Source organism: Homo sapiens, chromosome 8 (genome assembly GCF_000001405.40).
Source record: "Homo sapiens chromosome 8, GRCh38.p14 Primary Assembly".
Taxonomy (NCBI): Eukaryota; Metazoa; Chordata; class Mammalia; order Primates; family Hominidae; genus Homo; species Homo sapiens.
In genome coordinates this window covers 77,422,849-77,437,431 of record NC_000008.11, presented here as the reverse complement: position 1 = coordinate 77,437,431, position 14,583 = coordinate 77,422,849, and positions in this window count along the sequence as shown.

Here is a 14,583-nt window from a genome sequence, read left to right as displayed (position 1 = left end):
TAACAGCAGATTTCTCAGAAGAAACCCTACAAGCTGAAAGGGATTGGGGCCCTATCTTCAACCTTCTCAAACAAAACAATTATCAGCCAAAAATTTTGTATCCAGAAAAATGAAGCTTTATAAATGAAGGAAAGATAGTCTTTTTCAGACAAACAAATGCTAAGAGAATTCCTCACTACCAAGCCAGCACTACAAGAACTGCTAAATGGAGCTCTAAATCTTGAAACAAATCCTAGAAACACATCTAAACAGAACCTCTTTAAAACATAAATCTCACAGGACCTATAAAACAAAAATCCAAAAAAAGAAAAGAAAAGGCCAAAGTATACAGGCAACAAATAGCAGCAGTAGCTATTCTTATATCAGAAAAAACAAACTTTAAAGTTACAATAGTTAAAAAGACAAAGCGGGACATTATATAATGATAAAAGGCTTTGTCCAACAGGAAAATATCACAATTCTAAATACATATGCACCTAACACTGGAGCTCCCAAATTTATAAAACAATTACTAATAGTCCTAAGAAATGAGATAAACACCACCACAATAATAGTGAGGGCCTCCAATACTCCACTGACAGCACTACGCAGGTCATCAAGACAGGAAGTCAACAAAGAACAATGGATTTAAACTATACCCTGGAACAAATGGACTTAACAGATATTTACAGAACATTCTACCCAACAACCACAGAATAAGCTTTCTATTTGACAGTGCATGGAAATTTCTCCAAGATAGATCCTATGACAGGCCACAAAACGAGCCTCAATAAATTTAACAAAATTGAAATTACATTGAGCACTCTCTTGGACCACAGTGGAATAAAACTGGAAACCAACTCAAAAAAATTTTTAAAAAAACTTCAAAATCATGCAAATACATGGAAATTAAATAACCTGCTCCTGAATGATCATTGGGTCAAAAATGAAATGAAGATTAAAATTTAAAAAATTTTTGAACTAAACAACAATAGTGACACAACCTATCAAAACCTCTGGGGTACAGCAAAGGTGGTGCTAAGAGGAAAGTTCGTAGCCCTAAATGCCTACATTAAAAAGACTGAAAGAGCACAAACAGACAATCTAAGGTCACACCTGAAGGAACAAGAGAAACAAGAACAAACAAAACCCAAACCCAGCAGAAGAAAGGAAATAACCAAAACCAGAGCAGAACTAATTGAAACTGAAATAAACAAACAAAACAATACAAAAGACAAATGAAACACAAAAAGCTGGTTCTTTGAAAAGATAAATAAAATTGATAGACCATTAGTAAGATTAACCAAGAAAAGAAGAGAGAAAATTTAAATAAGCTCAATTAGAAATGAAACGAGATATTACAATTGACACCACAGAAATACAAAAGATTACTCAAGGCTACTATGAACACCTTTATGTGCATAAGTTAAAAAACCAAGAGGAGATGGATAAATTCCTGGAAAGATACAACCCTCCTAGCTTAAGATAGGAAGAATTAGATACCCTGAGCAGACCAACCAATAACAAGCAGCTATATTGAAAAGGAAATTTAAAAATTACCAACAAACAAAGTCCAGGAGCAGAAGGATTCTCAGCAGAATTCTACCAGACATTTGAAAAAGAATTGGTACCAATGCTATTGACAGTATTCCACAAGATAGAGAAAGAGAGAACCCTCCCTAAATTATTCTATGAAGCTATTGCCCTAATACCCAAACCAGGAAAGGACACAACCAAATAAATAAATAAATAAATAACTACAGACCAATATCCCTGATGAACATAGATGCTAAAATCCTTAAGAAAATACTAGCTAACCGAATCCAACAACATATCAAAAAGGATAATTCACTATGATCAAGTGGGTTTCATACCAATGATGCAAGGATGGTTTGACATACATGAGTCAATAAATGTGATAGAACACATAAACAGAATTAATAACAAAAATCACACAACCATCTCAATAGATGATGAAGAAGCATTCGACAAAATCTAACATCTCTTTATGATTAAAACTCTCAGCAAAATTGGGATACAAGGGCCATACCTCAAAATAATAAAAGTCATCTATGACAAACCCATAACCAACATAATACTGAATGGGGAAAAGTTGAAAGCATTCCCTCTGAGAACTGGAACAAGGCAAGGATGCCCACTCTCACCACTCCTCTTCAACATGGTCCTGGAAGTCCTAGTCAGAGCAATCAGAAAAGAGAAACAAATAAAGGGCATCCAAATTGGTAAAGAGGAAGTTAAACTGTTGCTGTTTGCTGATGATATGATCATTTACCTAGAAAACCCTAAAGACTCCTCCAGAAAGCTCTTAGAACTGATAAAAAAAATTCAGCAAAGTTTCCAGATACAAATTTAGTGTACACAGATCAGTAGCTCTTTTATAAACCAACAGTAACCAAGCTGAGAATCAAAACAAGAACTCAACCCCTTTTACAATAGCTAAAAAAAAAAAAAAAACAAAACTTAGGAATATATCTAACCAATGAGCTGAAGGATCTCTACAAGGAAACTTACAACACACTGCTAAAAGAAATCATAGATGACACAAACAAATGGAAACACATCCCATGCTCATGGATGGGTAGAATCAATATTGTGAAAATCACCATACTGCCAAAAGCAATCTACAAATTCAATGCAAATTCCATCAAAACACCACCATAATTCTTCACAGTTAGAAAAAAAAATCCTAAAATTGATATGGAACCAAAAAACAGCCTACATAGCCAAAGCTAGACTAAGCAAAAAGAACAAATCTGGAGGCATCACATTACCCAACTTCAAACTATAATATAAAGCCATAGTCACCAAAACAGCATCGTACTGGTATAAAAATAGGCCCAGAAATCAATAGAAAACCCAGAAATAAACCCAAATACTTACTGATCTTCAATAAACCAACTGATCTTCAATAAAGCAAACAACTTTATTGCTCTTGATCTTCAATAAAGCAACTGATCTTCAATAAAGCAAACAAAAACATAAAGTGGGGAAAGAATACCCTATTCAACAACTGATGCCAGGGTAATTGGCAAGCCACATGTAGGAGATTAAAACTAGATCCTCATCTCTCATCTATACAAAAATCAACTCAAGATGGATCAAGGACTCAAATCTAAGACCTGAAATTACAAAAATTATAGAAGATAACATAGGAAAACCCTTCTAGACATTGGCTTAGGCAAGGATTTCATGACCAAGAATCCCAAAGCAAATGTTATAGAAACAAAGAGTAGGCCGGACGCAGTGGCTCATGCCTGTAATCCCAGCACTTTGGGAAGCTGAGGTGGGTGGATCACGAGGTCAGGAGATTGAGACCCTCCTGGCTAACACAGTGAAACTCCATCTCTACTAAAAATACAAAAAATTAGCTGGGCATGGTGGTGGGTGCCTGTAGTCCCAGCTACTCGGGAGGCTGAGACAGGAGAATGGCATGAACCTGGTGGGTGGAGCTTGCAGTGAGTTGAGATCGCGCCACTGCACTCCAGCCCGGGCACAGAGAAAGACTCGGTCTCAAAAATAAATAAATAAATAAAACAAAACAAACAAACAAAAAATAAAGAGTAATAGCTGGGACTTAATTAAACTAAAGAGCTTTTGCATGACTAAAGGAACAGTCCACAGAGTAAACAGACAACTCACAGAGTGGGAGAAAATCTTCACAATCTATACATCTGACAAAGGACTAATATCCAGAATCTACAATTAACTCACACAAATTACAAAGAAAGAAACAAACAATCCCATTATAAATGGGCTAAGGACATGAATAGACAATTCTCAAAAGAAGATATATAAATGGCCAAAAAACATTTTAAAAATGCTCTACATCACTAATGATCAGGGAAATGAGATTATGTCAAACGAAAAACCTTTTGCATAGAAAAGTAAACAATCAGCAGAGTGAAAAGACAGCCTATCATATGGGAGAAAATATTTACAAATCACACATCCAATAAGGGTTTAATAATCAGCAGAGTGAAAAGACAACCTATCACATGGGAGAAAATATTTACAATTCACATATCCAATAAGGGTTTAATATCCAAAATACATGAGAAACTCAAACAACTCATTATCAAGAATACACATAACACAATTTTAAAATGGGCAATGGGTCTGAATAGGCATTTCTCTAAGGAATGCATACAATGACCAACTGGTATATGACAAAGGAGCTTAATATCACTAGTCATCAGAAATATGCAAATTAAAACCACAACCTGATTTCACTATATCATCTTAATTATAATGGCTATTATAAAAATATGGAAAATAACAAATGTTGGTAAGGATGTGAAGAAAGGGAAACACTCATGCAATGCTGATGGGAATATATCTTGGTTCAGCTATTACGAAAAACAGTATAGAGATTCCTTGTAAATTAAAAGCAGAACTACCATAGGATCCAGCCATCACACTACTGGGTATATGTCCAAAGGAAATGAAATCAGCATCTTGAGGAAACATCTGCACTTCCATGTTTATTGCAGCACTATTCACAAGAGCCAAGATATGAAATCAACCTAAGTGTCCATGAATGAATGAATGAATGGATATTATACACAATAAAATATTATTCCACCTTAAAAAAGGCATTCTTGTCATTTGCAACAGCATGGATGAACCTGGAGGACATTACAGTAAGTGCAGTAATCCAGGCAGAAAAAGACAAATACCTCACGATCCCACTTATATGTGGAATCTAAAAAAGCTGTACACAGAAGTGAAGAGTAGAATGCTAGGTACTAGAGGCTGTCAGGGATTTGGGGATCCCCATATCAGGGATTTGGCAGGGGCACTGGTCAAAGGATACAAAATCTTAGTTAAATAGGAGGAATAATTTGAGATAACACTATGTTAATTAGTTCAAATGAGCAACTTCACAATGTATGTATGTCAAATCATGTTGTACATGATAAATATAACAATTTTTATATGAGAAAAAGACCACATTTATTGTACTATTGCCTCCATACTCATAAAATAATTGATTAAGTTATAATTATTCATGTCCAAAGTTAATTGGTAAAGTTAGTAAATAAATAAAAAATAAGAACAGTCATGGCCACTTAACAATGTTTCTATCAACTATGGGCCACATATACAACATGGTCCCATAAAATTATAATACTATATTTTTACTATACCTTTTCTATGTTTAAGTATGTTTAGATACACTTATAGTTAACATTGTGTTACAATTGTCGACTGTATTCAGTACAATAACATGCTGCACAAGTTTTTAGCCTAGGAGCAATAGGCTGTACCTGTAACATAGGTGTATAGGAGGCTATATCCCCTAGGTTTTTGTATGGCAATCTGTGATATCCACACAATGACAAAATCACATAACAATGCATTTCTCTCAGAATGTATAATGATTGTTAAGGGCCACGTGACTGTATCCATTAAATAAATAAATAAAACATCCTAAGAAGATACAATATTATAAATAATAAATAATTTGGTCTAAGAAATCTAATATTTAGGTGAAGGAAACAAAATTATAGCTGGACAAGAGGAATAAATTATTATGGAAAGAATTTATTTCCTCTTACAGAAGTATTTCTTAAAAAAACAAATTGATAAAAACAGAAGGGGAGGAACTACAGAGTCCTATGTGTCTAAAATTAATTCATAATAAAAATATCTTCCAAGAAAAATTCTACCCACAGGTGGAATTTATCCATATTCCACCAAATATTAAAAAACAAAACATAAAAATTATTTTAGAGAATAGGAACAAATAAAAATCTTCCCATTTACTTTTATGAAGACTTCAGATTTTGATAGCAATGCGTGGTAGGACAATTCAAGAAAATCAAATATAAATCAATATCTATTAGGCAAAACTCCTGAACAAAATATCAGTAAATTGAACCTAGTGATATATGAAAAGTTTGGCTTAACATTGATGTTATTAACTATATTATTTATTATTATTTTGAGACGGAATCTCACTCTGTCACCCAGGCTGGAATGCAGTGGTATGATCTCAGCTCACTGCAACCTCCACCTCCCAGGTTCAAGTGATTCTCCTGTCTCAGCATCCTGAGCTGGAATTACAGGCACACCGCACCCTGCCCGGCTAATTTTTGTATTTTTACTAGAGACAGGGTTTCACCATGTTGGCCATGCTGGTCTCGAACTCCTGACCTCATGTGATCCGCCTACCTTACCTCACAAAGTGATGGGATTACAGGCGTAAGCCACCACACCTGGCAGTTATTACTATATTAAAAAGAATAAAGACAGGCAACACAATCTTATCAGTAGACTATAAACAACCATTTAATAAAACTCAAAATGCATTTATGATACATTTATCAATTAAAAAGAAATAAAAAGCCATTAATATGATAAGTAGTAAAGACAGCCAGGGAAAAATTATAATCAATCAAATGCTTTGTATGTCAGTTTGAGATGAAATAGCAATGATTACAATTGCCTTAGGAGTTCTATCCAGTGCAATAAGGCAAGAAAAAGTAATAGAAATTATGAACATTGGGATGGAAAAGTAAAACTGCCATTATTTTTAAAAAGCATATGATTGTATAAAAATATCTGAATGAATTATCAGATAAATTACTGCAATTAATAAGAAAATTTCACTAGATAGCTCTATGTATACCAATGTAGAAAAATCAATTATATTCCTATGTAACTAGGAAAAAAAATGAGAATATTAAGGCAAAAACAATGCCATTTACATTCACATCAATAATCTATAATTAACAAGGAATAATTTTAACAAAAGATGCATAAAATTTCCACAGAGAAAACTAATAAATTAAGTGACTTAAGTAAACGTATAGCAATGTCTTTAGATTGGAAGTCTAAATTATTAAGATGTCAATTGTCATCAAATTCTATTTTAACTTAAATGATATTCCAATATAACTCCAGCGGATTTTAAAAACATATTGGCAAACTAGTTTCAATATGTATGTTAAAATTCAAAAGACCTAGAATCTATAACAGGAAGGCAATCTCAAAAGGTACAAACTGGACTATTTACACCTCCAGTTATGAAACTTATTTTTAAAATACAGCAGTTTATACATTGTGATATGGTACAAAGATAAAGAAATATTTCAACGGCAGGGAATACAGATTTCAGAACAGACACAAATATATACAGTAACCTGATTTATGACAAGGCCACTTCCACAATTCAGTGGGGAAAATGATTGTTTTTTCAATAAATGATGGTGGGTGAATTAAATAACCATATGGAAAAAATGGTCCTTGACCCTACATCACACCATATACAGAAATTAATTCCAGATGCATCATATCATAGAAATAAATGCAAAATCTAAAACAATTAAACTTAAAAAAGGAAAAAAAAATTTTTTGAACTTAATGTATTAAGCAGTATAACACCACTAATAACAAAAACATCTAATGACTGTTTTTGTACTTCATGAAAATTTAAAACTAAATAAGTTTATAAAATATACATTAAGAGGAGAAAATAAGCCACAGATTTAGTGAATATATTAGCAAAATATATATTCAGTGAATGATTCATTCTGGACTATATAAAAAGCCTTATAATTAAAAAGACCTAATAAAATTATGGGTAAAATACTGAAAAGCCACTTTTGAAAGAAGGATATTCAAATGCTAATAATCATATATGAAAAGATACTTTAAAATGTTAGTTATCAGTGAAATGGAAAGTGCGACCATAATGTGATATCACCATAGACTTAGCAGAATGGCAACCAGAATATCAAGTATTTCTGAGGCTGTGAAACAACTGAAACTGTCATAAATTTCTGCTAAGTATATAGATGAGTAGCTCACTTTGAAAAAGCTGGTATAGAGAGTATCTATTAAACATGTACTTATTTTATGATATAGCAATTTCACCCTTAGGTAAAATCTGAAAAGAAAGTAGTGTAAATGTTCATTTCATAAAGTTTTTATTCTTAATAGCATGAAACTGGAAGTAATAAAAATGTACCTCAAGAGTATAATGGATAAATATGTTTTGAAAATGACATAAATTATATTTCATTCTCCCTTTACTGCTCTTGAGTATCTCATTTATATAATGGGGTGGGGGAACTTATGTGCAGAACATAGATGAGTCTTATGGACACAATATTTAGGAAAAGAGGCTAGATCCAAAAGAGTGAATTGATATCTGTGCAGTTCAAGAACATAAATATATAGCGATAGAAATCAGAATTGTTATCTCAGGGGATGGGTTAATAGTGGCCTTCTGCAATATTGGAACTATTCTATACCTTGTTCTGGGTGGTGATTACAAAGTTTTATATACATATATATATATATATATAATATACACATACATACATAAAACTTTCATGTCTATAAAACTTTGTGTATCTATATAATTATACATATATATATGAAAAAATGTACTAGAATGGTCAAAGCACACAAATATTTACCAACAGAAAAAGAGAAATACCTTGTTGCATATTTTTGAAATGTGCTATGAACATAACTATTAATAAATGAGAGTTTTGTGTACATAAGAAGGTATGTACCCCAAAGATGCAAGGTTAAAAGTTGCAGAAGGATACTTGTACCACTTGTGATACACTTATATTAACTTACATACATACTTACAAAGAAAAAATATAAAGTACTAAAAGTGAACAACAGGATCAGACCTATGTTTTAGAAAGCTATTTTGTAGAAATTTAGAGAATGGATTGGATAAGAGAGATTACTAAAAGAGAACTAGGGAAGAGATACTGATCTGTTCTGGAAAAAAATTATGAGAAAATAATTGATAATTATTATTCCAAGAGACTGGAAAGAAAGAAAAGACTCATAGAATATTTCAGTCACAGATCAAAAGGATCTGTTAATCTATCTGAAATGAGAGAAAAAAAAAAACGAGTTGGTGTTTATTTATGAAGCATATATGTTTTATATGCCCAGCACTCTGCCAGGTGTTTTTCATATGCTATGGCATTTAATCCTGGTAATAGCATTGTGTGATACACATATTTATTTCTATTTTACAAATAGAAAAGAATAGAACTCTTGCAGGTTATTTAATTTGCCAAAGCTCAAATGGCAAGGAAATGGAGATGCCCTATTTGAAGCCAGGTGTGTTTGATTCCAAGGTCATACTCTTTTCATTTGAGAATGAATCCTAATACAATTCATAGTATTTGAACAGTTTGTTTTGGTGCATGGTGATACCATTAACTGAAAAGGGAAATTCAGATCAGTAGTATGTTCTATATAGTAGTATAGACTTGGTTGTTGAACATGCTTTAACTTTGCTAACATAACATCTGGTAAGAAGTTAAAAATAAGTTCTGTTCTTGTAAATTTGTTTAAGATTCTTATAGATGCTGCATAGTAGACCTGTGTCAGATGCATAGTTTCAAATATTTTCTCCCATTCTGTAGTTTGTCTTTTTACTCTGTTAATAGTTTCTTTTGCTTTGCAGAAACTCTTTAATATAATCCAATCCCAACTGTCAATTTTTGGTTTTGTTGCAATTGCTTTTGGTGTTTTTGTCAAAATCTTTGCCACTTCCTATGTCCAGAACGGTATTGCCTATGTTGTCTTGCAGGGGTTTTATAGTTTTGGGTTTTACATTTAAGTCTTTAATCTATATTGAGTTTATTTTTGTATATGGTTAAAGGAAGGGGTCCAATTTTAATCTTCTGTTACTAAAAGGTAAAAAAGTAACCAGTGCTAAAGAGGTTGCAGAGAAAAGGGAATGCTTATACACTGTTGTTGGGAGTGTAAATTAGTTCAACAGTTGTGGAAAACAGTGTGATGATTACTCAAATTGCTAAAGACAGAACTACTATTCGAGGCAGCAATCCCTTTACTGGGTATATACCCAGAGGAATGTTAATCATTATATCATAAAGACTCATGCACATGTATGTTCATCGCAACACTGCTCACAATAGCAAAACATGGAATCAATCTAAATGTCCATCAGTGGTAGACTGATGTATTAATTTGTTGTCACACTGCTATAAAGAACTATTTGAGACTAGTTAATTTATAAAGAAAAGAGGTTTAATTGATTCACAGTTCCACAGGCTTAACAGGAATTATGACTGGGAGGAGTCAAAAAACTTACAATCATGACGGAAGGCGAAGGGGAAGTAAGCATGTGTTACAGTGGTGGAACAGGAGAAAGAGAGAGAAAGAGCAAAGGCGGCTGTGCTGCACACATTTAAACAACCAGATCTTATGAGAACTAACTCACTATCACAAGAACAGATAGAGGGAAATCCACCACCATGAGCCAATCACCTCCCAACAGCTCCCTTCCCTGACAATTGGGGATTACAGTTCAACACGAGATTTGGGTGGGAACACAGAGCCAAACCATGTAATTCTGCCTTGGCCCCTCCCAAATCTCATGTCCTTCTCAAATTCCAAAAAAAAAAATCATACCTTCTCAACAGTCCCGCAAAGGCTTAACTCATTCCAGCATTAACTCAAAAGTTCAAGTCCAAAGTCTCATCTAAGACAAGGCAAATCCCTTCTGCCTATAAGCCTGTAAAATCCAAGGCAAGTGAATTACTTCCACGTTACAATGGAGGTACAGGCATTGGGTAAGTAATCCCATTCCAAAAGGGAGAAATCAGCCAAAACAAAGGGGCTACAGGCCCCATGCAAGTCCAAAACCCAGCAGAGCAGTTATTAAGTCTTCAAGCTCCAAAAATAATCTTCTTTGACTCGATGTCTCACATCACATCCAGGTCACGCTGATGCAAGGGGTGGGTTCCCAAGGCCTTGGGCAGTTCTTTTCCATGCCTCTGCATGATACGTTCCCCACAGCTGCTTTCATGGGCTGGCATTGAGTGCCTACTGCTTTTCCAGGCGCATGGGAAGCTGTTGGTCGATCTACCATTCTGGGGTCTGGAGGATGGTGGCTGTCTTTTCACAGCTCCACTAGGCAGTACATCAGTGTGGCTGCCCCACATTTCTCCTTTGTATTCCCCTAATAGAGGTTCTCCATGAGGGCTCTGCCCCTGCAGCACATTTCTGCCTGGACATTCTGGGGTTTCCATACATCCTCTGAAATGTATACGGATGATCACAAAGCTCAACTCTTCTCTTCTGTGCATTCACAGGACCAACACTGTGTGGAAGCCACCAAGGCTTAGGGCTTGCAACCTCTGAAGCAAGAGGCCCGAGATTTATCTCGGCCCCTTTTAGTACGGCTGGAGCTAGAGCGGCTGGGATGCAAGGCACCGTGTCTCAAAGCTGCACAGAGCAGCAGGGCCCTAGGCCTGGCCCATGAAACCGTATTTCCCAGCTGGTCCTCTGGGCCTGTGATGGGAGGGACTGCTGTGAAGTCTCTGAAATGCCCTGCAGGCATTTTTTCCATTGTTTTGACTGTTAACATTTGGCTCCTCTTTACACATGTACACATATGTAACTAACCTGCACATTGTGCACATGTACCCTAAAACTTAAAGTATAATTAAAAAAAAAAAAGAACAACAACAAAAAAAAACCGAAAAAAGAAAATTTCTGTAGCTGGCTTGAATTTCTCCACAGAAAATGGGTTTTTCTTCTCTACGACAAAATCAGGCTGCAAATTTCCCAAACTTTTATGCTCTGCTTAATTTGTAAATATAGGTTGCCTTTGCTAATGGTAATGAGCACAGAATTTTACGAACAGCCAGGCCACCTCTTCAACACTTTGCTACTTAGAAATTTCTTCCACCAGATATCCTAAATTATGTCTCTCAAGTTCAAAGTTCTACAGATCTTTAGGGCAGGGGCACAATGCCACCAGTCTCCCTGCTAAAGTGTAGCAAGAGTGACCTTTACTCCAGTTCCTAGTAAGTTCTTCCTCTGCATCTGAGACCACCTTAGCCTGAACTTCATTTTCCATATTACTATCAGCATTTTGGTCAAAACCATTCAAGAAGTCTCTAGAAAGTTTCAAACTTTCCTGCATCTTTCTGTCTTCTCCTGAGCCCTACCAAATTGTTCCAATCTCTACCTGTTACCCAGTTCCAAAGTTGCCTCCACATTTTCAGTTATCTTCATAGCAGAGCCCCACTTCCAGTACCAATTTTCTGTATTAGTCTGTTTTCACACCACATTTTGAATTCATAGAACTTAATGTCAGTGCATGAAATGAGAATTTAAGAAGAACTACCTGAGACCAGGTAATTTATGACATTAATTTAGTAATTAATTTCTTGGGGATCAAATGTTTACACATGATCTAATTGCAATCCTCCATTTTATAAATGAGATATAAGATTTAAATAACTGTGTGCCCTATTGAAAAATTACACAGATAGTTGTTGCTCTGTAAGTCTGAGTCCCTGTGTAACACTTGTAAGCAAAGTCCTATGCCAACATATGGAAAACTAGTGAATGACAATTATGTGCTAGGAAAAGGCATGCTCTGAACTATGTGTAAGAGGCGATTGTTGCTAACAAATACTATTTTTTTGTTGTTGTTTTCCTAATATAATCAAGAAAGTTGGAATATAAGACTAAGGCAGATGGGGATTATATTTTAAAAACTCATACTTAAAAATAATGAATTTCAGTGAAATTAAGAAAAATTTTGGAAAAAAGTGGATAATGGCTATTGTGAGCAATGTTGCAATGAACATGAGAGCACAAAGGTGCTCAACATCACTGATCATCAGGAAAATCCAAATCAAAACCACAGTGAGATATTACCGCACACCTGCTACCAAAAAATATAAAAGAACAAGTGTTGGCAAGAATGTAAAGGAATGGGGATCCTTGTGTGCTGTTGTTGAAAATGTAAAATGTTTCAGTTGCTAAGAAAAGCAGTATGAGTGGTCCTCAAACAATTAAGGGGAGAACAACCTTAAGATCCAGCAATTCCACTTCTGGGTATTTACCAAAATAATTGAAAACTGGATCTCAAAGAGATACTTGCACTCCCATGGTTCATTAAAATGAGTTTGATTGTATCTTAAAAATTAGTTTAAAAAGCAGAAGTCATACTTCCTAAAATTGATAACAAAGAATCTTGAAGACAGTGAAGAAGTTAATTGGATGAGAGTTTTAATGAATATTATTTTATGTCATGTCAATGAAATCACACGGAATAATAAGTTAATTCTAAAATTAAAAAATAAGTAATACACTTTATAAAAACCTCCATGGATTAAAGAAGGAATCACATCAGAATTTACAAAATATTTTGAACTGAATAGTAAAGATAAAACATGCAATAACTTGTACGATGTAGCAATAGTAATGATGAGAGATTGGTCTACCTGCATCTATCTGCTCTTGATCCTATGTATCAGAAAGTGGCAAACCACAGCTTATGCCGTTTCAGTCTCTGTTTTTGCATGATCCACAAGCTAAGAAGTTTTTTACAAACAAACATTTGTAATCATTTGGTAATAGAGAACACTAACTTTGAACCCCAGCTAATGAAAAGATCATCTCAAAAAACCTTCATTCTCATTAGTTGACCTGTCTTACAAAAAAAAATTGTACTCATGCATTATTGTTGTTGTTATATTTTGAGTGTCATCAATAAGAATATTGTCAAAATCTATTTCTCTTTTGTTATACAAGAACCTGCATAATATTCTTGACTTTGCTTCTTGGCCTATGAAGCCTAAAATATTTATAATTTGGCTTTTATTAAGTGTGCTGCTAACCCAAGAAAATGCAGTCTCCACCCCTCCAGAGTGTACAGTGTGATATTAATTACTAAATTTAACTTTGAAAGGTGTTCTTCTCAATATGACCCTCAAAGAAGTTCTCTAAGGTAAAGATAAGAAACTCTATACACTTTTCAATATTCTGAAAAGAATGCAAATGTATCTGACATTTTAAACTGATGTAAAATAACCATAATATCAAGGTTGTTTTTAATTGGAATTCTATAAATCAGTATACTTATGTTGGTTTATCATATCTTGACCAAAAGCTCTGGTGAATAATAGTGTTTTAACATAGGAAAAATATTTTGATTTAAACTAAATTCGTTTCAAGAAAAAGTATTGAACAAAATCTAATGAAAATGGATGAGAAACAAAGAAAAATATCATAGTGGGAAAGTGTTAAACTAAGAAATAATCTCATTGAGCTATGTTTTGGGAATTACAGATTAAAAAATAAATGTCGTAGCCAAATTGTACTGTAAATTTCCCCAAAGAAGGGTGTATTATGTGGCAAAATCTAAATTATCAAGTTTATACAGAATAGTTATACCAATTTCTCTGAGGATGAACTTTCTTATATGGACACTATCTCTCCAAGATAGGCTTAAAGCCTAGCATACAAGATTGATGTAATAAATGTAATCTGATTTTGAGATATGTTGATTAAAGAAAAATACCATTATCCCATTAGGCCACACTTTCATTTTATTCATTTTTTTCATTCATTTACCAATTATTAATTGAATACTATTATCTTTCAAGTAGGTACTATATACTAAGTGAACAAATCTGCATTTTGAAATCATAGAACTTAATGTCAGTGCACAAAATGAAAAATTTAAAAGCACATAAATTCTTACAGAATAATCTTGCAATATAAAATTTATAGATGAATTCTGCAAGTTAAAACAATAGCAAGAATCTACTAACCTTA